General features: G+C 39.6%; 2 pseudogenes across 4 annotated transcripts, besides 2 other annotated features; both read right to left on the reverse strand.

Moving 5' to 3' along the window:
* THSD1P1 (thrombospondin type 1 domain containing 1 pseudogene 1) lies at positions 130 to 742 on the reverse strand (annotated as a pseudogene).
* On the reverse strand, positions 130 to 26,888 carry MRPS31P5 (mitochondrial ribosomal protein S31 pseudogene 5; annotated as a pseudogene). Of its 4 annotated transcripts, none has more exons than NR_051963.1 (9): positions 26,675 to 26,888; positions 22,060 to 22,335; positions 19,104 to 19,244; positions 16,397 to 16,535; positions 13,003 to 13,075; positions 8,060 to 8,197; positions 3,579 to 3,669; positions 2,408 to 2,520; positions 130 to 1,725 (listed from the first exon to the last, which is right to left on the reverse strand). The product of NR_051963.1 is annotated as a mitochondrial ribosomal protein S31 pseudogene 5, transcript variant 2 (transcript). The 4 variants fall into 4 exon arrangements; NR_002816.2 differs by having other exon boundaries at positions 22,060 to 22,648; positions 26,273 to 26,888; NR_051965.1 differs by lacking the exon at positions 22,060 to 22,335 and having other exon boundaries at positions 2,408 to 2,477.
* Positions 22,509 to 23,010: an enhancer, noted in NCBI's record as "H3K4me1 hESC enhancer chr13:52764223-52764724 (GRCh37/hg19 assembly coordinates)". NCBI's record gives its function as "activates a minimal SCP1, AML or CMV promoter by ChIP-STARR-seq in naive H9 embryonic stem cells {active_cell/tissue: H9 hESC(naive)}" and the evidence as "EXISTENCE:reporter gene assay evidence [ECO:0000049][PMID:30033119]".
* Positions 26,778 to 27,047: an enhancer, noted in NCBI's record as "active region_7787". NCBI's record gives its function as "activates an Ori minimal core promoter by ATAC-STARR-seq in GM12878 lymphoblastoid cells {active_cell/tissue: GM12878}" and the evidence as "EXISTENCE:reporter gene assay evidence [ECO:0000049][PMID:35858748]".

Consider the following 27,052-nt stretch of genomic DNA (forward strand, 5'->3'; position numbering starts at 1 on the left):
CTCCATCCCTTTTTAGTTGAGGTTTCAGATTTCTGCTTCAGGTTGGAAACTGCCAATGCAATGTTCAGAGCATGTTCTACTCAAAAGTCACATCTTAACTTTCATAGCCACATGACAGACCAAGCCACATTTGCTCTTGTTTACATTTTATTATCATTATTAGTAATAAACCAATAAAAACTGAATAACAAAGGAAAAAGCTCAAGATAAATAATTTCTTCCTTGTGAATTCAAACACATGCACACACACACATCCTCCTCTGTGTGTGTTACTTCCTCCTCACATTCTGTCCTACGGTACAAATAGTTACACAAAAGTCTACAAAACGCGAGTAGCAGACCCCAGCTGTGTTAAGCTCAGGCTGATTCTCAGTCTAGATCACCAGCTTCTCCACGCTAAGTGTACTTGTGGTTTCATCCTCTTCATTTGACCCAAAATATCCTGGGAGGTCCAGCATCCTCTGCTCAGCCTCAGTGAGGCCAAACGACGTATTGTCATAGAAGGCAAACTCAGGGTGAGTGGGGAAGCTTTGACACTTGTCTTTTCTACACTGAGAAGGGCTCAGAGAACTGACCCTCTGGTAGTTATCTTTGGGGGATGTGGGAGAAGACTACTTCCTTGAGATACTCTTGTGACTGGGGGACGGTCCCCGAGGAGCTCTGTGGGGCTCTGTTCTCTCAATTCCTGCCACTAATCCTGCCTGGCGATCCCCAAGGTCTGGTTTCCTCAAAGGCTGCCCCATGGGCCTTAATAAAAATTTTAAATATACTCTCACACACACACTATATTCTAGAGAAGAACTATTGTATCAAAATCCTAGATTTGAATAACTTATTATTTTAAATAATCAGTAACTAAAACCAAGCAATCCATCACACAAAGAGGGGAAAGGGTAATATTCTGAGTTATAAATTTTTTACCCTGTCTGATAAAAATAGAAGCCTGAAAGTTTAAATTTTTCCTGGATTTAAATTTAAAGATAAATTTGTTTTTCAGTGAAATATCCTCAATAGCAATTTTACCAAAGAGGCCTTCTTCTGAAGGCCACCTCTGAAATAATTAGAGGATAAATGTCAATGGCATGATATTAAGATATTACTTGGCCAGGCGTGGTGGCTCACGCCTGTAATCCCAACACTTTGGGAGGCCAAGGCGGGTGGATCACGAGGTCAAGAGTTCGAGACAAGCCTGGCCAACATGGTGAAACCGCATCTCTACTAAAGACACAAAAAATTAGCCAGGCGTGGTAGCGCACGCCTGTAATCCTAGCTATTCAGGAGGCTGAGGCAGGAGAATCACTTGAACCCGGGAGGTAGAAGTTGCAGTGAGCCGAGATCACGCCATTGCACTCCAGCCTGGGCAACAGGGTGAGACTCCACCTCAAAAAATAAAAAAAAAGAAAGATATTATTCAAGAAAAGAACTTAGGAGCCAGGTGCAGTGGCTCATGTCTATTATGCCAGTACTTTGGGAGGCCAAGGCAGTAGGATCACTTGAGGCCGGGAGTTCAGAGACCAGTCTGGGAAACGTAGCAAGACCTCGTCTCTACAAAAAAAGTGTTTAACAAATTAGCTCAGTATGGTGGCACATGCCTGTAGTCCCACCTACTCAGGAGGCAGAGGCAGAAGGATGGCTCGAGCCCTGGAATTCAAGGCTGCAGTGAACTAAGATGGTGCCATTGCACTCGAGGATGGGTGACAGAGCAAGACTCCATGCCGCCAGCCCCTAAAAAAAGAAAAAAAAGAAAGGCATTTAGGCAGTTCTAAATAAAAACATCTTAGTATTTTCTATTGTTGAAAGAAAAAATTTATTTTAAGTATATGTTAGTAAGCCAAGAGACTTTCTAAAATACTGTTAACATCTAGTACAATTTCCAGTAAAATTTAATTTTAGAACTTGCTTCAGAAGGAATTTCACTTTAATTGTACATACTTGCTTATTCCAAAATATAATTATACAAAGGAATTAAAGAAGTTTCTTACTTAAAGAATAAAGTTACACTTAGAAACAAGATGGGATATAAAGCACACAGATATAGAGCTTTCATAGCATTAAATGCGGCCTATTCAGCTTGGTTGAAGGATAGGATGTTCTCTAGTCAGTTAAATACAGTAAATTCCAAATGATAAACAAAAAAGGAATGTGAAATCCTTCAGTTTCATCTATACCTTGCAGTTATTTCAATCATCACTATTTTAAAATATGTTAAGTATAGATCTCCTATCACATACTATGGCTAACAAAATAATAGAACTATAACTTTGTATTTAAAATTGAATCATATCTCTGCTATAAAATGTATAAATATAGAATTTTACTACTTATAAAGCTTACAATGAACTCATTCAACAAATTAAACATCTACTATTTACAGTCCAAGCTCAACAAAAAAGTAGCTATTGAATACCCTTTTCTCAGCATAGCAGTGGAATTATTTGGATTGAGTTCATAAGACTTCTTTGTGTCGGCAACAGCAACTACGTAGAAACAGATGGGTTTTTCGTCAGTTATTTACAGATCCTAGCAAATACACAAAGAATATGAATCAGTTTTAGATTTCTAAGTTTTCGAGTTGATAGAAACACCAAACGGTTTTAAATTAGGAAAAGCTAATCCAAGACAGAATTCAAATAAATAATACTCTTGTACCTTCCTTTTGGCTTAACATTTAGCTTCATTCTTAAAGCTCTTCAGTCAATGAATAAAGCTGTGTCACAAAATTCATCTCCTTTTCTCATTAGCATAATCTATATAATTTGGCCGGGTGCAGTGGCTCACACCTGTAATCCCAGCATTTTGGGAGGCCGAGGAGGGTGGATCACCTGTGGTCAGGAGTTTGAGACCAGCCTGGCCAACATGGTGAAACTCCGTCTCTGCTAAAAATACAAAATTAGCCAGGCATGGTGGCACGTGCCTGTGGTCCCAGCTACCTGGGAGGCTGAGGCAGGAGAATCCCTTGAACCTGGGAGGCGAAGGCTGCAGTGAGCTGAGATCAAGCCACTGCACTCCAGCCTAGGCAACAAGAGCGAAACTCCGTCTAAAAAAAAAAGATATTCAGTTTTTCCCTATCCAGATTCTTCATCAGAATAACTTTTTAAAGTTACACAATACAGAAATACATTACTTTTTAATATAGATAGGGTCTTGCTATGTTGTCCAGGCTGGACTCGAACTCTTGGGCTCATGTGATCCTCCAGCTTTGGTCTCCCAAAGTGCTGGGATTACAGGCATAAGCCACCATGCCTGGCCACATTCGTTTTTATAAAAAATACAAAGAAGAGCATTTCATTTTAATACTCTGTCAAATAGTAAATATGATACTATTCTTTATCAGCCTACCCAATAACTATGAATGAAATCTATATACATTCTCCACCCACTGAAGGAAAATGAGACATCCATAAAATTTAATAGGTGTTGCTCAACATGTCTGTCACACTTGAGATACTGTACCTTGTATGAAAGACCAATTTAAAAATCCTCAAAGACAACCTTTATTTTATTTGACTAATTTGTCATGGGTAAAATGTATAAGTAACTTATTAAAAAGGGACAATATACTTTGGAAGAAAAATTACCATAGTAACTCCCAAGAAGAATGTGACAATAAGCTCTTTGACAATAATATTGTGCATCATCTGGTTTCTGTTCCAAAGCCTTAGTCAGCTCCTACAAAAACAAACATGTGGAGTGTCAGTAACAGTTTGTAAAAAGCCATGAAATTCTAATTAAAACAATTTTTAATCAAATAACTTATTATCAGAAACTATTTGGAGGAAAGATAACAGGGATGTAATCTTGGAGTTTTTCCTCATAAGAAAATCTCCCCTTCTCCTGCCCCTCCTCCCAAAAGTAGACAATCTAACATAGTATCTCTGTACTGTAAAGCATTTAGTTCCTGGCCTATAGAACTCAATAAATGGTCATTATTATCATCTCACATATTCTGAAGAGTTTAACTGATATACATTGACTATTACAGATTTTCTCCTTCTAATTTGGAGAAGATTCAAACTCCATATAGAATTTGAGATTCCTAGAAAATGTGAAGCTGTCCAAAAAAAAAAAGACTAAAAGTTAAATCTAGAGCTCAGGGAGGTTAAGACAATCAATACATACACCATCAAGCTTACCTGGCCCTCTCTTATCCTCTATCAATAGCACACAACTCTAATAAAATGCAATTAAACATTCTGTTCAAAGCCCAGATACAATCTCATAGATGGCTATGGCAACTGATCAAGAGTTAACATTAGAGAGATTAAGACTTTTTTACCCTGTGCAGTCACAACATATAGGTGTGGTAGCTGGAAAAATAATGATGTAAGAGATTACACAATTAGGGAGATCAAGGGCAAGTACAGGAACACTTTTATTTTCTGCCAGCTGCCTACAAACTCTGGGGATTTGGTAGTTTTCTTAAATGGTAAAATTATTTCAATAGCCGCATGTGTCACTGACTTAGCTTTAACCTAGTTTAATTCTCACAAAGCAATGAATACAGATGCCCCTCAACTCACATGGGGTTACAGTCAATCAACAGAAAGTGTGGCTCAAACTAAGAGAGCAAAGAAGCTGTAAGATGCTACTTCAAGGGCCTCACTTTGTACCTTGCAGGCTGTTACAAGGAATTTGGACCTTAGGTGTGATGGAAACCCATGGAAAGGTCATTGTTAGTAGGAGAGAGACATGGTCCAATTTACTTTTTAAAAATGTCATTCTGGTTGCTGTATGGTGAATACATTATAACAAATCAGCACTGGAAACAGAGACTTCTTAGGAAACTACTACATTAAATCTAGGCTAGAAAAGGCTGTTAGCCACAGAGGTGATGAAGAGAAATACAATAAGCTGGAATATATTAGAACCAGCAAGACTTGCTAATGGGTGAACGTGTGGGATAAGAGAAACTGAAGATCACTCCATGGTTTGGGGCTTATTTAGATCTCTACCTGGCATGCAGTAAGCAGTCAATGGATGATTTTTCTCCTTGCAGACTTTCTTCAACCTTTTCCCCAATCTCTACTTTGACTGCATCTCCTTTGCCACAAAATATAAAAATATTTGCCTCTCTAGTCTTAATCTTCTCAAAGCCACTAGTAACCCCTTATCAAATCCAACTGATTCCTATCTGACTTGATCTCTCTGTGGCCCCTGACAATAATAACCAGGACTTTCAGCTTACCATTCTGTTGCCTCTTAAAAACTAATGTTTTCTGGGCTGGGGGCAGTGGCTCACGCCTATAATCCCAGCAATTTGGGAGGCCGAGGCAGGTGGATCACCTGAGGTCAGGAGTTCGAGACTAGCCTGGCCAACATGGTGAAACTCTATGTCTCTACTAAAAATACAAAAATTAATCAGACATGGTGGTGGGGTGGAACCAAAGAATTTACATCAGCTGGGTGCAATGGCTCACGCCTGTAATCCCAGCACTTTGGGAGGCCAAGAAGGGGTGGATCCCTTGAGCCCAGGAGTTGGAGACCAGACTGGGCAACATGGGGAAAACCTACAAAAAATACAAAAACCAATTAGCCAGGCATGGTGCAGGCCTGTGGTCCCAGCAACTCGGGAGGGTGAGGTGAGAGGACTGCTTGGACCCTGGGAGGAGGTAGTTGCAGCGAGCCATGATTGTGCCACTGCACTCCAGACTGGGTGACAGAGCAAGACACTATCCCCCAGAAAAAGAGTAACATTAACTCTGAAATAGCTGGCCTAGGAACCCAGTTTGATGGAGGAATCTGAATGCTAAGCTAAGGATTTTGGAGTTTACCCTACAGGTAGCAAGAAAGGCATTGAGGGTTTCCATATATGAACATTATGTATTCCCAAGGGATATTTTTACTTGATTTTTTTGAGACAGAGTCAAAAAGAGAAGAGAACAGAAAAAACGAGAGAAAAATACAGGAAGGCCAGTATAGAACTGTTAACAATTCAAGAGCTGGCAAGCAAAGACACACTCAGAGCGCTTCTCTTTGTTTCCTTGCCCTCTGAACTGTTCAATAAATAGTGAAGAACACAAAGCTAACTGCAGTATTTGTTTCAGACCTGCTGCTGCTCTCCAATTTAAAAGCAATACAGGAACATTAAATTTGTCACAGCTGAAATTGGTAAAGGCAGACCTCTACAGGTGCTTCTTGACTTACAATGGGTTTATTGGGAGGGGAAGATATCGTAAGTCAAAATGTCTTTAATACACCTAACCTACTGAGCATCAGAGCTTAGAAACGTACTCAGAACACTTACATTAACTTACATTTGGGCAAAATCATCTAACACAAATCCTGTTTTATTATAAAGGGTTGAATAGCTCATGTAATTTATGGGAATAATGTCCTGAACGTGAAAAACAGGATAGGTGTATGGGGACTCAAAGTTCGGTTTCTACTGAATGTGCATCGCCTATGGAACCATCATAAAGTCAAAAAATTCTGAGTCAAACCTTCCTAAGCCCCGGACCGTCTGTATGTGAAGTGCTCCCTAAGGGGCACTATGCCAGATACCATGCCTAAGTGTTTTCCAACTTTCTGTACCACATTCAAAAGGAGCATCTTCATAGATGTTACTGACATCGTGGAAAATATTAGTCTTTCCTTTGTTTTGCAGCTGACAGGATTTTTAAAAGAAGCTCTAAACCACAAGCATATTCCAGCAGCTGTTTGTTCCTCCTAGTATGAGTTACTTCCTCCCTCTGCCACCGTCGCTTGTATTCTAGTTTGAGGAAATATTAAGCAGCACAGTAAATCAGTCTGTTTTCAGAAATTGCTTAGTCCTGGAATTAATATATTTTATAAAACAGGTTTGCTTTAGCTCCTTAAGATTTGGTTACTTAGAATAAAATCTTCCCAGTTTAACAGGCAACTTGCATACATGTATAAATACATGAACTTTAAAAGCACCTTTAGGATTAAGAGGGTTTTGTTATCTGTATTTACAGAATTTAAAGCTGATTACCTCAGCAAGTTTTAGAGCAATTTTAAGAATAGTAATAAGACAAGAATCTCAAGATAACACATTCTTTAGAACCAAGAACTTTAGAACCAAATGTGTAAATGGTTAAATGAAGGATGTTTTAACAACATGGTCTCAGCTGTGGAGATATCATCATCTTTCAAAGCTACCTGCAAAAAAGGGACAATGACCTCACTGGCAAGTGAAAATTAGAAAAATTTAAGGAATTCTCAGCAAATTTCTTATCTTTTAAAATACCCATGGTCATCCCTTAAGAGGGTAAATGCACCTGTCATTAATAAGTAAGTGAGTTCATAAGCAATATTACCTCCAGGATTTTTAATTTCTTGGCAGGGATAATAGTGACATTAAAAGCAAGCTTATACGTTCCTATTAATAAGGAGCAGTAGATTTATTCAAAACCAATTTCTGCTTCAAAACACTTCCAAGCATATAAAAAATGCCATCCTTAAAAGAAGGATTCCCTATTTGATTGTCTCAGTTTATTATAATATGGATGGGCTTTGCATTCTAGATAACATGCCCTTTGTTTGCTGTTTTTGTATAGGAATTATCTCGGAATGTGATAATGCTGGGACTCTACTGATGGCTAGGCACTGCATATCTTCGTTATGTGCCCATTTCCATTCATTCCTTAAAATATTATGAAACACTGTTACAAACAAAACATAATGTATAATTATAATATAGCTAACATATAGCATAATATATACAACATATAATAACATAAAAGCATGATGAAATGACCACCTGTGAACCTGCCGTCCAACTTGAGGAACAGAATGATAATACTGTCGAAGCCCCCGGGTGTCCCTACTCAATTACCCTGCCTTCCTGAAATGTTGATCATTTTCTCTATACTTTTATCACCTTTAGAGCTAAGAAAGTATATTCAAAATTTGGTTTTTGAATTTTATAAAATTCTGTTATATTGCATGCATTCTGCTGCAACTTACTGTCTTTAGGACACCGTGAAGATATCTACCCAGTGTTTTGAAATTCATCTAAGTATCTACACTCTAAAAGTGAATATCTGGCAGAAATAATCTCAGTCAATGAATTTTATAAACCCCTGAAATTAACACTTACCTGCTTCATTGTTAATTGGAAACTCCCAGTTTCCCCTCTTTAATCCACTGGATCAGCTCTTCAAACCCATTCTGAAGGGATGTTCATTTTCTGTGGCTTATTTAGCAAATTCCACATCCCAAAGTGAAGGTGATGTGTCTGTATAAGGCATTTTAAATAAGAACAAGTCAGTGTAAACATCTTTTTAAAAAATGTTATAACCAATTCTGAATTGTGTATTTTTCATACCTTGACACTCATAATTACAGTATATAATAGAAAGTTGTATCACTGAGATTTAACTGCAACAAAAATTATGTTAAAGACTATAACTAGGCTCACGCCTGTAATCCCAGCACTTTGGGAGGCCAAGGAGGGGAGATCACCTAAGGTCAGGAGTTCAATACCAGCCTGACCAACATGGTGAAACCTCATCTCTACTAAAAATACAAAAAATTAGCTGGGTACGGTGGTGCATGCCTATAATCATAGCTACTTGGGAGGCTGAGGCAGGAGAACTGCTTGAACCCCGGAGGTGGAGGTTGCAGTAAGCCAAGATCGGGCCACTGCATTCCGACCTGGGTGACAGAGCCAGACTCTGTCTCAAAAAATAAATAAATAAATAAAGACTATAACTACAATAATGGCAAGCTTAACTTTGGTTTTACAACAATGCCAGGTAATCACTGCCCCTTCTACTGGAAAAAAAAATAAATTTGTATTTTGTTTAAAGGTATTTTTATGAATATGAATATTTTTTATATAATATGTGACTTATTTTTAAACTCTAGGCTGTTTATTTTAACTCTATCAAAATTAGTCACTAATGTACTACTGTTAACAACCAAAGAAGTTAGATCAACAGAATAACAATAAAACTGCTAATGAACACTGAGTACTTCCTCTGTGCTTAAATGTTTTTTATGCATTAGTACATTTAATCCTCAGAACCAACCCTATGAGTTGGCTAATTACCACCATCATATTACAAGTTTCAGTAACTTTTTTACTTTTGAAATTTCAGATCATCTTTTGAGAATGAGCCATATTCCCACCAGTTACTGCTGCTGGGAACGTAAAATGGTACAAACATCTTGGAAAACAGCTTGATGGCTTCTTAAAAAGTTAAAAATACATCTATTATTCATCATAGCTATTTCATTCCTGGATATTTACCCAAGAGATAATACATGTCCACACAAAGACTTGTACACGAAAGTTCATGGCAGCTTTCTTTGTAATAGCCAAATGTGGGGTGTAATTTGGGAAACAATCCAAATGTCCACTAACAGGTGAATAGGTACAAAAATGTAATACATTGGCCAGGCGCGGTGGCTCGCAGCTGTAATCCCAGCACTTTGGGAGGCCAAGGCAGGCGGATCATGAGGTCAGGAGTTCAAGAACAGCCTGGCCAACATGGTGAAACCCCATCTCTACTAGAAATACAAAAATTAGATGGGCATGGTGGTGTGTGCCTGTAAGCCCAGCTATTCGGGAGGCTGAGGCAGGAGAAATGCTTCAACCAGGACCCAGGAGGTGGAGGTTGCAGTGAACCGAGATCGCGCCACTGCACTTCAGCCTGAGCTACAGAGCGAGACTCCGTCTAAAAAAAAAAAAAAAAAAGTAATACAGCCATACAACTGTATACTATTCAGTAATAAAAATGCATTATTAGTACATGGAACAACATGGATGAATCTCAAATCATTAGCTGAGTGAAAGAAGCCAGATGCAAAAGAGTACATACTGTGTGATTTCATTTATGTACAATTCTAAGAGATGCAACCTAATCTATTTTAACAGAAAGCAGATCAAAGGTTGCCTGCATTTTGTGTGTGTGTGTGTATGTGTGGGTGTGTCAGGCTAAAGGACATAAGGAAACTTTTAAGGGTCATGAAAATGTTCAGATTTATAAGTGGGAGTTTCGTGGGTGTATCTATTTGTCAAAACTAGTCGAGTTATATACTTCAAATGTGTGCAGTTTGTTGCACACAAATTACACCTTAATAAAGTTGTAAAAGGAAAATGAATATCAATATCTATCCCTTGGCTACTTTTTTCCCTGTATTTTTGGACCTTAATTATTTTTTCAAACATTTTTGACCTTTCTGGGCTAGAGGCATAGACTGCATATGATTTATCCTCCAGCCTACCTGTTTACACACTTTTGTCAAGCCCCCTAAAGCATGTCAACAAATAGCTCATTTACTCTTCTACCTGGGTAAGCCTTATTTTATCTATTTGCTTTTTCTGAATGGGTTTCTGTGAGCCTTTATGTGCAGAAATGTGTCTAATCACACACTGACTGGCAGAAATTAAGTATTTTCACCTAGATCATCTGATACTGGGTAACTATCACAGTTGTTAGGCTTAACTAGCCACATTTACAGAGCAATCACACCAATAAAATAACTATCTCAGTTATCTTTTATTTGGTGGACACTGACCGACCTATGTCTTTTCCATCATCATCAGGATCATCATATTTTACACTTGCTAATAGTTGCAAACATTTATTAAATGTGTACTACGTTCCAGGCACTGTGCCTCACACTTTTCTCAGATGACCTCATTTAATCCCGGAGATGTATGTACTAACCCCCATTTTATAGGTGGGGAAAGCTTAGTGCAGCAGAATCGGAATTTGAATCCAGTTCTACACAACACCAACACTGTTTCTGTTGAGCTATACTGCCTGTCAACTCTCGGATAACCAGTAGGGCCTATGACAATATCCTTTGTAGCAGTGGTAAGAATTTAGTGGGGAACAAGACGTGGGAATCATGGAACAGAATAACTCAATCAATCGGTCAATAAAAAAATTACTGAATGCCAACTATATTTCCAGCATTGTTTGGGATATAAGATAACAACAATGAACAACTGCTAAATTTAAGTTTCCACATTTTGTTATTCTTGTACTTAAATGGAAACAAAAAACATTCTTTAGACTCATGCAAGTACAGCACATTCAAACAGTAACTTCATTAAATTATTACATAAATTTGTGTGCTACTTTCCTCACTAGAATATAATCATTTGATACTGTTTTATAAAATACATAAAATTTAAATGCCTCCTTGCCAACTAATTTCAGTTTAAGAAATAAGATTTTTTTATTTTAAAAAGTAAGCTGGCTTCTTCCGGAATCCAAGTATCTCTTTTGGCTGGACAACAGCAGCTGCCCTGACAAAAAATTCCTTTCTGATGCACACTTAACGGATACCATTTGAGCAGGGGAGAGGTGATTCATTGTCCCTATGCATTTTGCATTTCCTTTTTATCATACACAACAGAATGCAGTTTTTGTAATACAGGGGGTTGTTCTTTTAGCTTCACCTTCAGTTCTAACGAACAAACGTTAATTGAATTCACTACTTTCCTTTATAGATGTATATTTTATACTACAGTTTCTTCAAAAAGAATTTAAGATTTAAGATAACTAGTTCCTATGATCTGTAAGCCACATGAGTAGATGCTATAGGGTATATAGACATGAATGAGATCTAGCCTCTAACATAGTTTATTAAATAGGGGGAAAATCAGAAGTTCATGTAAGTAACTGGTAGAAAGATTAAATGAGCCATTGGAGGCTGGCCTAGGAACTTATCTATCACGTACAACATTTTTTTTTCTCCTTTGAGGGGGGGTCTCACTCTGTCACTTAGGCTGGAGTGTTATGGCACAATTGTAGCTCATTGCAGCATTGAATTCTGGGCTCCAGTGATCCTCCCACCTCAACCTCCCAGGTTGCTAGGACTATAGGCATGCACCACCATACCCAGATAATTTTTTTCTATTTTTTTACAGAAAGGATCTCACTATGTTGCCCAGGCTGGTCTTGAACTCCTAATCCCAAGCCATCCTGTCATCTCAGCCTCCTAAGTGCATATACAACATTATTTCTATCAAAGTCCAAAAAACTAACTTCTATTCATTAGAAATGCTCATCACTTACACTCTGGAGACCATCTGTATTGAGTTTCTTCATTTATTTTACTAGTAAACCAAATTTAATGCCAAGCAAGAGGACACTCATTTCTCTTTTAGACTTAAATGGTAAATTTCTTACCCAAAGAAAAGGGGAAGAACAGAGAACAAAGACCAACCATGTGTTAAGAAAAAAACACAAGTCTCTTAAATATATTCCTTGAATGTTCTTCCCATCTCCTGAACAATCACTAAATCACTTCAATAAGTTATTTTATAAATGCTATCTCCTCTTCTAGATAGCAAGCTGCCTAGGGACAGGAACCAGTATGTCTTTATGTAATAGCATAGAGATACACTGCAAATGGTAGGTGATTAATAATGTTCTAACCCAAATTAGGGGCTAATCTGGACCTCTGGATTCATGTAATCGGTAATACTCACCTCCCATTATCTCACAGAATGCAACATTTCAAGAGGGAAACTGAACCACAACTAGCAATCTCAACAACTGTAGTGTGGTATGTCCCCCACCAGGTTACTGTGTATGTGTGTTGCTTGAACCCTGAAGGCTGGGCAGGGAGCCAAGGCCACAGTGCCTAGCTGAGGAGCAGGTGTCCCTGAGAACCCAAACATCCCAGGGCATACCTCAAAACATATCAAGGAAAACAGTCTCATCGTGCACACACAGTAGGCAAACAGCCAGAATATAAGCTTAAAAGCAGCTTAGAGATAAGAGGCAGGGTGACTCTACAGCTGCCCAGAAATGTCCAGTAGGTAAGTTCTAGTAAACTCATCTATTCATCAAGCTGGACTTGCCCAAATTATTCTTTGGTCTCTCGATGCCTTCCCAATTTGGGGGGACGTTATAGTCCCGAGTTTTCCTTCTAACAACCGCCACATTCATCATTCGGATCCAGGCCAATGACAGGAGGGAATATTAAAATATCCGACTATTACACCATCAAAACCTTCAGGACATCTTGTAAAGATGGAATATTTCTCCACCTGAGAAACAGTTATTCTTAACAAACCTGTTCAGGTGCTTCTTTAGTAACTGTCGTCACGTCAAAACTATTACATCTCTTCCCCTTGAATATGTTTTTCCTAAGACAAAAAAAAAAAAAGAATATTTTAATGAATATATTTTAAACTGTCAACAAAAATTATGAGAAAAAAATTTAAGTGAAATATTCTATGTAAAAATTCAAAATAATTCCACTGACGCACATCAAACATCTTACCTAAATTGCCACATTTTTAGGACCGATAGACTAAAAACAGAAATGTGCACTTGAAGTTTTGCTTCATAATACAACAAATCAGTTACAGCAACTTAATTTCCAAAATATCTAATTGAAAAGATTAGCTCAATTTGCCATAATTTTTATTTGTTCCCTTTTATATTAAGTTTTAAAAACTCTATGTTGTGAAAAACTATAAAACTATGCAAAAAAGAAGCTGTTGAAGTCGACATTTGTTTTTAAGGGCAGAAAACATTGCAATGTTTAATTACAAATTATAATTACAAAAGATTGCATAGGTAAATCACAACATTCCCTTTCATAAAGCATTCTGTAAAATAACTTTCTTTACATGACGATTTTTAATTAACTATTGAAATTAATATCAGAGTTAATAAGTAACATTGTCTTGCAAACTTGATATGCTTTATGCATCAATTTACATATTTACTTGAATAAACTTACTGGCAGATTAAAATCCAGTTTATAAACTGGAGGGTTAATTTTAAAAATAATTTCAAATTCTTTTTTTATGGACTAAGTTACTTTTCTCTACTAAATAGAACTGGAAAAAATGCAAATACCATATGAACGTTAAATAATGTGATCTCAAGTCATACAAGTTTTCCTCTAGCAGGTTCCTAAGTTATTTGTAAACAAAGGTTTTTATGCCAGAATTTTCCTCAGTGCCTTGCATTCTTCTCCCTCAACCGAACATCCGGTGAACAGGATGGTGGATTAAAGCAAGTCACAGCAGAGAGGAAATGCCTTGGTAAAGCACTGAACTTCAAAAGAGGAATGTACAACAGAGAAAGGGAATGGACATTTGCTGAGCACCTACTATGTACCAGATAGTTTATACGTGGTTTCTTTTCTATTCCTCAAGAAAGCCATTTAAGCTAGGTTTCACTTTCAGCATTTTACAGCTGGGGAAACAGGCTGATGAAGGCTATAAAAGGTGCCCCGGTCACAGAATTAGTCAGTGGCAGTGCCAACATTCTGAGAAAGGCCAGTGTGAACTGTCAATTTCCAACAGAAGCAATAAGTCCAGGCCTGGGTTGTCTGGGGTTGATACCTCAGACCCTGCCCAAGTCATATCAGGGTGAACAACTTGGCATCTCACCATTGCTTCCCCTTACTCCCCTTTAGCTGGCTTTTTAACACACTGAAGGCACAGGAACCCCTTTCCTACTTTTTTAGTTTCTCCTTTGCCACCTAATTTTTAAAATATTAAATATCAAATCTAATACTAAAAATCAAATATGCCATCCCGATGTAGCTGCACAGTATTATATGCAAGCTGAATGATTCAGTTAAATTTTCTCCAGTATTAACTGACTCAGTTAAATATTCTTAAGTAAAACTCCAAGAGCACTTTCTACTTTATTCAATAATATGTAACAGATAAGAAATCACTTTAAATTAGTAATTCAAATAATATTCCAAAGTCACCATAAATTATTGAACTTTGTGTGTTAACTGCTAACCACCTTTTCCAACTTTCCTGTATAAATCAGTAATTTAACACCCAGGAGTTAACTCAAGTGCCTGATTTTACTTAAAACAAATCCACGGAGGCCAGGTGTGGTGGCTCACGCCTGTAATCCCAGCACTTTGGGAGGCTGAGGCAGGTGGATCACGAGGTCAGGAGATCGAGACCATCCTGGCTAACACAGTGAAACCTCATCTCTACTAAAAATACAAAAAATTAGCTGGGCGTGGTGGCGGGCACCTGTAGTCCCAGCTACTCAGGAGGCTGAGGCAGGAGAATGGTGTGAACCCAGGAGGTGGAGCTTGCAGAGAGCCGAGATCCCGCCACTGCACTCCAGCCTGGGCGACAGAGCGAGACTCCATCTCAAAAACAAACAAACAAACAACAACAAAAAAAACAAATCCACGGAATACACAATCTATTGAAAACACTCCAATTGTGAGCATATCCTGCTATAAAGACAGGTTAGGCCAGGTGCGGTGGCTCACGCCTGTAATCCAAACACTTTGGGAGGCCGAGGTGGGTGGATCACTTGAGGTCAGGAGTTACCAGCCCGGCCAACATGGTGAAACCCCGTCTCTACTAAAAATACAAAAATTAGCTGGGTGTAGTGATGTGCCCCTGTAATCCCAGCTACTGGGGCGGCCGTCAGGGGAATCACTAGAACCCAGGAGGCAGAGGTTTCAGTGAGCTGAGATGGCACCACTGCAGTCCAGCCTGGGCGACAGAGTGAGATTCCGTGTCAAAAAAAAAAAAAAAAGACAAGTTAATTTTTGTCCGGCCATGCCAAATATCTGGCTCCTCCTTCCCAACTACCACTTTCAGGATTTAAAAGGAGAGAAAGAATAGAAACTTTCTGCAAATACAGAACAACTTTAGATTCTAAAATAACTATGTAAGACATGGCTCAGCATCTTTAAGAACTTCAAATGGCCACAAATAATCTACCATTTTAAGGTATAGGGTGCAATGGCACGATCTTGGCTCACTGCAACCTCCGCCTCCCGGATTCAAGCAATTCTCCTGACTCAGCCTCCTGAGTAGCTGGGATTGTAGGCGCCCGCCACCACGTCCAGCTAATTTTTATATTTTTAGTAGAGATGGGGTTTCACCATGTTAGCCAGGCTGGTCTCAAACTCCTGACCTCGTGATCCGCCTGCCTTGGCCCTCCAAATTGCTGGGATTACGGGTGTGAGCCAACATGCCCGGCCTACGCCTTTCTTTCTTTTTGTTGATGGTGGGTCATTTCTCTAACATATAACAAAAGATAAGCATGTATAGAGATATAAAGGGTAAATGAATACACAGTATTAGGCATTTATATTTATTTATTTATTAATTATTATTATTAATATTATTTGGAGACGGAGTCTCGCTCTGTCGCCCAGGCTGGAGTGCAATGGCGCAAAATCGGCTCACTGCAACCTCCACCTCATGGGTTCATGCCATTCTTCTGCCTCAGCCTCCCTAGTATCTGGGACTACAGGCACCCGCCACCACACCTGGCTAATTTTTTTTTGTATTTTTAGTACAGACAGGGTTTCACCATGTTAGCCAGGATGGTCTCAATCTCCTGACCTCGTGATCTGCCCACCTCGGCCTCCCAAAGTGCTGGGAAACAGGCATGAGCCACCGCACCCGGCCGACATTTATATTTAAAATGAAAAATAATGATTCTCACAAAATACTCACTTGTTCAGAATTCAGTCAGCTCTATTTATTCTTAATCAAAGTACCCCTATTCATCATGGGTAGATGTGAAGCATGGCCCGTTTTGATTTGAAGTATAGAAAAATGCAGGACTGGCTAAATCCAGCACATGGTTCGCTCTCTAGGAATTGGTATACAGAGAGTGAGAACACAGATGTAAATGCATGCATAATGCTCACATATCCAACAGCAATAATACACACATGCAATAAGGTAAATCTACTGTCAAGGTAAAACCAAACTACACAAACAAAACCCAGCAGACTACAAAGCCTGATATCTGTTTCTAAGATCAGCGGTCTTCTCCTAGCCAGGATAATTGTCATAGCCTTTGTCAAACTGAATCTGATGCTCTGGTCTTATATTAACTCTAGCTGTAGCACATTTGGCAATTTTCGTATCTCATATTTTGTTACTGAAACTGAAATAATAAAAAGGTAAAGTGCATTAGAAATCTTAGCTACAGCCGGGCACAGTGGCTCACGCCTGTAATCCCAGCACTTTGGGAGGCCAAGGCGGGCGGATCACCTGTGGTCGGGAGTTCGAGACCAGCCTGGCCAACATGGAGAAATCCCATCTCTACTAAAAGTACAAAATTAGCCGGGCATCATGGCAGGCACCTGTAATCCCAGCTACTTGAGAGGCTGAGGCCAGAGAATCACTTGAACACAGGAGGTGGAAGTTGCAGTGAGCCGACATTGCACCACTGCACTCCAGCCTGGGCAACAAGAGCGAAACATTGTCTCAAAAAAAAAAAAAAAAAAAACCTTAGCTACAGAACAGTAATAAACTTTCTTAAACAGGAGAGTGATATCATTTAATTCTTATTTCATTGCTATGCACTAATTATACAGCATACAAAGTTATGTTTAAAAAAGTCATCTATTAACATTCACAAAACACAGAACATTACGTATTTATGTTTACTTCCATCTTTTTTTCTTTTTGAGACAGAGCCTTACCCATCTTTTAAAGATGTTCTTCAGAAATCTTCACTTCAAACATAAAAGTGTCACATGAAAAATTATTTCGAAAGGGGCTGGGCGTGGTGGCTCACGCCTGTAATCCCAGCACTTTTGGAGGCCGAGACAGGCGGATTGCAAGGTCAGGAGATCGAGACCATCCTGGCTAACACAGTGAAACCCAATCCCTACTAAAAATACAAAAAAATTAGCCAGGTGTGGTGGCGGGTGTCTGTAGTCCCAGCTACTGGGGAGGCTGAGGCAGGAGAATGGCGTGAACCCAGGAGGTGGAGCTTGCAGTGAGCCGAGATCATGACACTGCACCCCAGCCTGGGCAACAGAGCGAGACTCCGTCTCAAAAAAAAAAAAAAAAGAAAAATTATTCCAAAAAAATGAAAGTACAGTCAGTATCTGTATACCTATCACCTACATTCAATAACTAAATTAAAACCAAGAGGTAGACATATTTATTTATTGCCTTGTATTTGTTCAAACACAAACAAAATGAGTCACTGAACTGACAGTCCAGATAGCTATGTTTTCCTTTTTTTTTTTTGAGGTGGAGTCTCGCTCTGTCGCCCAGGCTGGAGTGCAGTGGCACAATCTCAGCTCACTGCAAGCTCCGCCTCCCGGGTTCATGCCATTCTCCTGCCTCAGCCTCCTGAGTAGCTGAGACTACAGGCGCCTGCCACCACACCTGGCTAATTTTTTTGTATTTTTAGTAGAGAAGGGGTTTCACCGTGTTAGGATGGTCTCAATCTCCTGACCTCGTGATCCACCCGCCTTGGCCTCCCAAAGTGCTGGGATTACAAGCGTGAGCCACTGCGCCCGGCCTTATCTTTTTCTTTTTTTAAAAATACAATTTCTTTCAGAGATAGGGTCTCTGTCGCTCAGGCTGGAGTGCAGTGGTGCCATCATAACTCAATGCCGCCTCAAACTCTGGACTTAAGCCATCCTCCCGCCTCAGCCCCCAAAGTAGCTAGAACTACTGGCACACGCCACCATGCCCAGCTAATTTTTTTATGGTTTGTAAAGATGGGGTCTTGTTTTGCTGCCCAGACTGGTCTCAAATTCCTGGCCTCAAATGATCCTCTCACCTCAGCCTCACTGTGCTGGGATTATGGGCATGAGCCATCACACATGACCATTTCTTTCAACTTCCTGAAATACATCTGGTACACACGCTCACTGGGAACAACAGATTTAGATCACTCTCCAAAATGAAGCAGTGTTACCACTTACTACAATGTAGGCAGCAAGGAGTCTAACGTAGCATAAAATAATGAGAGATGAAGAGAGTAAGTGGAAAGATGTCAGCTTAAACATAAGAATAGGAGGAAAAAGAGAAGGAAACAGACCTGAAGATTGCTATACCATGCATAAAACCAGCAAGCTATTTAACTGAAAAAAAAATTACTTTTCTCAGAAAAGCTATCTTATTCTGTTATTTTTAATAACATTACTGAATTTATCATTTCTTGTTTCATGGACAAGAAACTGTAACTTCCTAAAAGGAAAGTAACTATTCAATTGGTCTCTTAAAACTGTATCTTACTTAAGACATATGTTTTTTAAAAACTTGAATTGCTAAAATTCCACTTATATGTTATATTCTATATGTAAATTCTACTTATGTGGTCTGTATTATGTGTATTACTTACTAGCCACATGAAAATGGCCTATTTTGAGATATAAACATTACTAACCTAATGGTTTGATTCACTTACCTAACTAGGTCTCTCTCCATCTCTCTGTGCCCCTGACTCTTCCTCATGCTACGGAGCTGCCTGAGCAGTTCTGGCTTGTTTGCTTGTCAAAACAGAGCAGCAGATGCAGCTGCCACCAACTCAGGACTCACGGGCTCATTTCTGAAAAAGAAAATGAAAACCAAATGAGAAAGAAAAAAGAGAGATTGCTTATTATGCCAGTAGTTTAGTGAAAAGTAAAATGATTTTTTGGGGAAGACTTTCTATTGTTCAAAAAAGTTATCATTCAATTCAATTTCTGACAAAAGCAAGAATTCTCAACTATTAGGTATCACTTTTATATAAACTTTGAAATGTTAACTCAGAACAATATATTAACATGGAGGGATGAGGGATCAGCGTCAAACATTATAAATTAGTGGAATTTTCAACTAGATGCTATTGCATTTCAAAAACAATACATATTGCAAGCAAATATTGAGGCAGCTTAACCTGTTCACAGAAGCTTTACTCAAAATAGCCCCAAACTGGAACCAACCTAAGGTCTATTATTAGAAAGAAAAAACAAATTGTGAGATATCCAAACAATGGAAGAGTACTCAGCTTATGCCAACATGACTGACTCTCATAGACATTAGATCAAGTGAAAGAAGCTGGACATGGAATATATTCTGTATGATTCCATTTCTATCAAGTTCCAGAACAGGCAAAACTAATCTGAGGTGAAAAAACAAAACAGCAATTGCCTCAGGACAGAAGGCTACTGATTGGGAATGTGAAAATGGGAAACACAGTGTCTTGGTTAAGTGTCTGGGTCACATGGGCTTATCCACTTATCAAAATCCTCCAGCCACCATGCGGTGAGAAAGCCCAGGCCACAAAGAAAGCCACATGTAGGTGTTTCTGCTAACACCCTCAGCTAAGGTCTCAGCTGACAGCTGGCATCAACTGCCAGACCTATGAGTGAGCAAACTTCAGATAATTCCAGCCTCAGATTTCTAGGTCTTCTAACTGAGGCCCCAGACATCAGAGAGCACAGACTGGCCTTCCCCACTGTGTTCCAGCCAAATTGCTAACCCACAGAATCTGTGAGCGTAATGAGTGAATGTTTTATGCCACTAAGTTTGGGAGGTAGTGTAACCATGGTAACCTTATCAATGGGGATTTAATATATAATACAAAGAAAGAAAAGCAGGCTATGCATGAAGCTATGATGACAGTGCCTCATGAAGCAAAGATCATGACTCATCTAATCCCATGCATCCTGGAAGTCCTTGAAAAGCGGGGAGGGGAGGCAAAAATCATTAAAAGACACCTTTTAAAAACTCAAAACAAATGCACCTTGTTCACCAGTCTTTTGATGTAGGACCAAAGCCTCTTTTTTAAACACAGGACCATTGATAAAAGGTTCTAAGACATATATTGTATATACATCACACCTATCCTGCAATATTTTCAATTTTGGTTTAAGTGGAAAAGTGGAGCAAGAATGTGAGATAGCTTACAAAGCGATCTAAGGGTATGATGCTCCTGCGTATGTATATTTGTCTCACTCATGCCTAACTGGAAAGAAATTGTTTACGTGACCTTTACCGACTCTTTCCAAAGCATTCAACTCACTTTACCATTTCTGTAATAGTTAATTAAATTATAATAAAGGGCATGAGGGGTCATAAACAGGTCTGGTAGCCTTAAAAATGCCATTCTTGATATGTATTTATATATGTTTGTGTGTGTTATTTACTTCCATATACTTATATAACTGTTTTCTTTCTAAAGGAGGAGGAGGAAGTACCTATTATGGGTACCGATTGTCTGAATTAGCTTACTCTACCACCCAATTATACTTTCCAGAGGTATTTTTGATACCACATAGAAACCAAGAAGTTCCATTAAAATGTTAAACCATTCTGGGAAACAGAAGCCTATATTAATCTGTTTGTTCTGATAAGGGAAGTCAGTGATGGGTATCCTAAGCCACACACCTTACTACTTCAATTAATGACATCACTGAAATACATCATTATGTATCACTAAAAAAAAAAAATACTGCCATTTAACCTACATGCCATTTAACACAATGCCAAGATATCACTGATTGCACTTAGAATTAAATATAATACCCTTTTGACAAGCACAAGTAATTATAATGCTCTGAGGAAGCCAAGAAAGCTGAAAGCATGGATAGTTATTGGTCAAAGGAAGTTATATAGAGCAGTTGTAATCAACATGCTAAAACTTTATTCCAGAAAAAAAATCTTTAAAATGGAAAATTTCAAATAAGCGAGTCCTTTACAGACATGAAGCTACCTTCAAATCAAGATGTAAATGATATTGTTAATTAACAGCTTAAAGAGGCAGTTAAGTGGCAGTTAATAACACCGATAAATATGTAAGAGTATGGAATTCTCAATGAGATCTCTTTTCCTTTCACTGGATTGTGTGCAGATATCCTCTTGTTATTTAAATATAATACAATAACAGCATTTCTCAAGTAATTATTAGAGTCCCTGTGTTTACAAGCTGATATTTATTCTTCATTAATTCAACATCTCCCAAGTACTTGTATTAAAAATATTTTTGCCAAAAGAAAAAGCTTACTGGAGTTTCAAAAATTAGTTTCAAACAGCCGGACATAGTGGCTCACACCTGTAATCCCAGCACTTTGGGAGGCCAAAGCAGGTGGATCACAAGTTCAAGAGATCGAGACCATCCTGGCTAACATGGTGAAACCCCGTCTCTACTAAAAATACAAAAAATTATCCTGGCGTGGCAGCATGTGCCTGTGGTCCCAGCTACTCAGGAGGCTGAGGCAGGAGAATGGCGTGAACCCGGGAGGCGGAGCTTGCAGTGAGCCGAGACGGTGCCACTGCACTCCAGCTTGGGTGACAAAGCGAGACTCTGTCTCAAAAAACAAAAACAAAACAATACAAAAAAAATTAGTTTCAAACAACATTCAAATTACAATTAAATTTACCTCTTCTTTGGAGCATGCTCTGTAGCTCTTTGAGGCGGGCCAGTTGTAGCTTTTAAGTGGACTTCTGTTGGGTGGCTTTGTTGTTTGTACATTTACTGTGCTCAATTCAACTTTCGTGCCCTTAATAATGTCTAACAAGTCTTTTTTCCTGTTTTCCTTTACACTGTCTTGGTTCTCTGAAGTCTTCTTGGAAGTCTCAACAGTTCACACTGCTCAACTTTCTTGCTACAGATAGCGCTGTTAGTGCCAAAATATCTTTGGATATTATTTTTTGTCCTGGAAAGATGCATTAAAAAAAATGAAAAATACAGTGCAGGCTAATAAGGAAAAAAACTATGTGTCTAAATTTTTTTCAATTCAAGCCTTTTCCATTTGCTTTTTATAATTATTGTTAACAACCATAGCAGCAGCAACTTACCATTTATTAGCATACACTACATGCCTCACCTTGTGCAATATGTTTTATGTACATTTCTCATACCCACATTAACTCCCTAAGGTCTCCATTTTGCAGATAAGGAAACTGAAAATCAGAGAAGTAACTTACCTAAGGTCATGCACCTCACAGCTCACTAAGGCCTAAGACACACTGGGGTGCCACAAATAAGTAGAGGTATGCTGAGATATTGATCACCTGCTCCTTGGGGTGGCCAGGGGAGGCCTGGGGGTGCTGGTGCTCCCAAATCTGTTCCTTCCCACCATTTACCCCAGAGTTCAGTAGAAAAACTCTGACATGGTTAATAAATGACAATTCATTATTCTCAAATCCAGATCTGACTGACTGCAAGTCCTTGATCTTAACATGATATAACACCTCTTTAAAAAGTTATAATTAGGCCGGGCGCGGTGGCTCACACCTGTGATCCCAACATTCTGGGAGGCTGAGGCGGGTGGATCACGAGGTCAGGAGTTTGAGACCAGCCTGGCCAACGTAGTGAAACCCCGTCTCTATTCAAAATACAAAAACTGAGCCGAGCGTGGTGGGACGCACCTGTAATTCCCAGCTACTTGGGAGGCTCAGGCAGGAGAATCGCTTGAACCCGGAAGGCGGAGGTTGCAGTAAGCCTAGATCACACCATCGCACTCCAGCCCAGGCGACAGTGCAAAATTCGTCTCAATTTAAAAAAAAAGTTATAATTAAATATGAAAATAAATTTCTATCAATCAAAAAGATTTACTTTCAAAAACTGAGTGGGTGTTAACCTGATCATCATTTTCATCAAGCTACATGCCACTTACACTTAACCCATAACCACCTGTAAGCTAAGCTAAAATGGAACAGAAAAGAGAATAATCAATGGCTAGAAATGTCATTTTTGCTTTCTTCATTAGATACATTTATGAAAGAGAACACCACAAATGATTACATCTATATTAGACTCATGCAAAAGATGTCCTAATTCTAAGTAACCCAAATACCCAATTTTATTCTGTGGGGTTAAAAATCTCTTTTGGTATTTGATTACTGAAGATCTTTAAAAATTCTGAATGTGTTGGTTTCAGTAAGAGGGTATATTTAAAAAATCATTCATTAAATATAGTGAATATCTACTCTGTGCTGGGCACTATACTAGGTACTGACAATATATTAGTAAATAAGAATTTCATAGTCCCTACTTTTATGAAGCTGATGTGCTACAGCACTGCTTCTCAAACTTTAATATGCATAGAAATCATTTTTTTTTTGAGACAGGGTCTCACACTGTCACACAGGCTGGAGTGCAGTGGCATGATCTTGGCTCACTGCAGCCTCAACCTCGCCGGGCTCCGGCGATCCTCCCACTTCAGCCTCCTGAGTAGTTGGGACTAATTTTCTGTAGACACAGGTTTCCCCACATCACCCAGGAACTCCTGGGATCTGCCCACCTAGAACTCCCACCACCCACCTAGGCCTCCCTAAGTGCTGGGATTACAGGCCTGGGCCACTGTCCCTGGCCCATAGAAAGTATCTATGCTGCTTGCTAAAATACAGATTCTTTGGTCCCACCAAACTACTCTGATTCAGTAGCTTTTTCCAGGAGACACTTGAGAATTTCCATTTCTAACAAACTCCCAGGTGTTGCTAATGCTGCTGGTCAGGGGACCACTTTACAGTAGCTATGTTACCTATGTTACTTAATCCTTACAATCTTAAAGCACAGATTTTATTATTCTCGTTTTACAGAACAAACTGCTGCCCACAGACGTTAAGTTAGTGGTTATGAATCTCTAGAGGTTATACAAATCACATAGGCAGCCGACTTAAAACACAGATTGCTGAGATTCTTAGTTTGTAAGTTTGGAATGGGGTTCAGGGATCAGCATGTTAAATTAGACCCAGGTGCTTCTGATGCAGGTGAGCTCAAGAGCCGTATCCGACCTTAGGTTAATACCATATCAAGTTCTCAAAGCCAGAAAATGGTAGCCACAGGCTAAGGATAGTTGCATGAAAGAGAAAATGCAATTTCAAAAAATGCTGAAACAAACTATTTGATCTGCTTATGAAAACGTCAGAGGCTATCAAATCAGGCACTTTTAAATTAGAATGAAAAAACAATTGCAAACTAGTATCCTCATACTAAGTACACAAGGACTCTCATAATATTCAATATATGGTACAATCTAGGAAAATAATCTATTATTTTACATTTAAAGTTAATATTGGCCGGGTGCAGTGGCTCACACCTGTAATCCCAACACTTTGGGAGGCTGAGGCGGGTGGAACACCTGAGGTCAGGAGTTGGAGACCAGGCAGGCCAACATAATGAAACCCCGTTTCCACTAAAAATCATGAAATGAGCCCAGCATGGTGGTATGTGCCTGTCCTTTAAGATTGTAAGGATTAAGTAACATAGGTAACATAGCTACTGTACTCGGGAGGATGAGGGACAAGAACCACTTGAACCCAGGAGACAGAGGTTGCAGTGAGCCGAGATCGTGCCACTGCACTCCAGCCTGGGACACAGAGCAAGACTCTGTCTCAAAAATAATTAATAATAATAATAATAATAATAATAATAAATAAAGTTGGCCGGGGACGGTGGCTTACGCCTGTAATCCCAGCACTTTGGGAGGCTGAGGGGGGCAGATCACCTGAGGTCAGGAGTTCGAGACCAGTCTGACCAACATGGAGAAACCCCATCTCCACTAAAAATACAAAATTAGCCAGGTGTGGTGGTGCATGCCTGTAGTCCCATCTATTTGGGAGGCTGATGCAGGAGAATCTCTTGAACATGGGAGGCAGAGGTTGCGGTGAGTCAAGATCAGCCTGGGCAGTAAGAGCGAAACTCCGGCTCTAAATAAATAGTTAATACTAAAGGTATTTTTACAGAAAGGTGGTAATCAGGGGAATGAATCTCACATATAATCTTTACTACCGTGTTTTCTTTCAAGACTGCTATCATACCACAGAAAGCAATCTACATTATAGGAAAACCATGTATAAATAACTCCATAACACTAATATAATAAAATTCTAAACCTAACCTCCCACCTGAGTTTGTTTCCACTGACAGCATCGCATCAGTACTTCAAATGCAACACCTTCAAAACGACATTCAAGACGTCCCCTTTCAGACTGACTTTCCATTTTTCACACTTCTATATTAAAATGCCCCTGACATAAACAGATTTTTTTTGTTTGTTTTCTAAAAACTATAACATATGTAAAAATCTTTCTCAACCCCGGATCTGCATTCTTCTGCTAACATTAAGGATACCAACTCCAACGCAGCCAGTTGAAATCTTTGCTCTCTCTGACCACCCTACCATTATCCCATGATGTCACATCCCCTTAATTCTACCTGGGCAATTTTTCTCCTCCATTCAGCTGGTCCTTCCCATCTTCACTGCTACTAATCTGCTTCAGCACTGTACTTAACCAAACTGGCTTCTGAGTGTTATGCATGGAAGTTACACAGTGGAATTAGGCTTTCATAACAATAAAGTACTCGGAGGATAAATAGCAAAACCAAGTATGCTGCAACATCTTTTCTTTCCTGGCTAATTTCAACCAGTGGTCCTTCAGATTTCATCAGACTTTTCTTCCAGAAAGGATATCCTGAGTCGCCCCTGCAATGGTTAGGTGTCCCTATTTGCTCCTCTAGCAATTACTTGTTGCATGAATAGTGTACTCTGTGCTTCCATACACTATCTCAGCAATTACTTCACTACACAGCACTTGTATTGTCTACTTGCTGGAACTACACCCTCCGTGACGACAAGACTGTCTTACTTGGGGTTTATGACCAGTACTGGCACGCTGTAAAGTTTTCCAATAATGAACGAAAGAATAAACGAAGGAAACAGAAATGAGACTATCAAATAAATCTTGGGAAGCAAAAGCTAAAACAACTTCGCTTTTGGAGCTTGGATAAACTGACAGGAGTTGATGACAAGACGAATGAGGCACAGCGACCAGCTTGTAATCGGAGCACTGTTTTCCAGGCACGCTATGATCTTGGGCAAGTCATCTTATCTTTCTGGGATTTTTCTTTTCTCAGATGTAAAGCAATAGATTCTAAAACCCAGCAGGTAATACCTTCGACCCCGGGAAGTCGGAGGATAACTGAATGTACAGCACGGGGCACGGGGATGCCCGAGGACCTGCGGGGCCAAGAGCGCTGAACTGCGGTACCTGACCGTTCCATGCCGAGCAGCGAGTAGCAAAATTGCAGCCGCTGATGTCTCCGGGCTTCCACAGGACAAAGGGTGGCAGGAAAGGGTGCTAAGAGGTAGAAACACCGAGACTCTACCAACACCGCGGAAACACAAAGCCAACCAGGAGCGCAACTGTAACAGTGCGTCCCCATGCCAAACACATCCCCCGCGCTCTCCTCCGTTTCCGGTCTGGCTTGTTCCCCTCCCTTTGCTTTCCGGTGGGCAACAGGGGTGGGTAACTGTGTTCCGGACTCGCCCGCGGGCCGGGCGGAGCCAGCTACCTCCAGGCGACCCTACCCACCCCGCGATTCTATTCCTGGAGACTGAGTCCTCGCCAGTGTTCAGCAAGGTTCGC

The sequence above is a fragment of the Homo sapiens genome, chromosome 13 (assembly GCF_000001405.40).
Source record: "Homo sapiens chromosome 13, GRCh38.p14 Primary Assembly".
In the NCBI taxonomy this organism is placed as follows: Eukaryota; Metazoa; Chordata; class Mammalia; order Primates; family Hominidae; genus Homo; species Homo sapiens.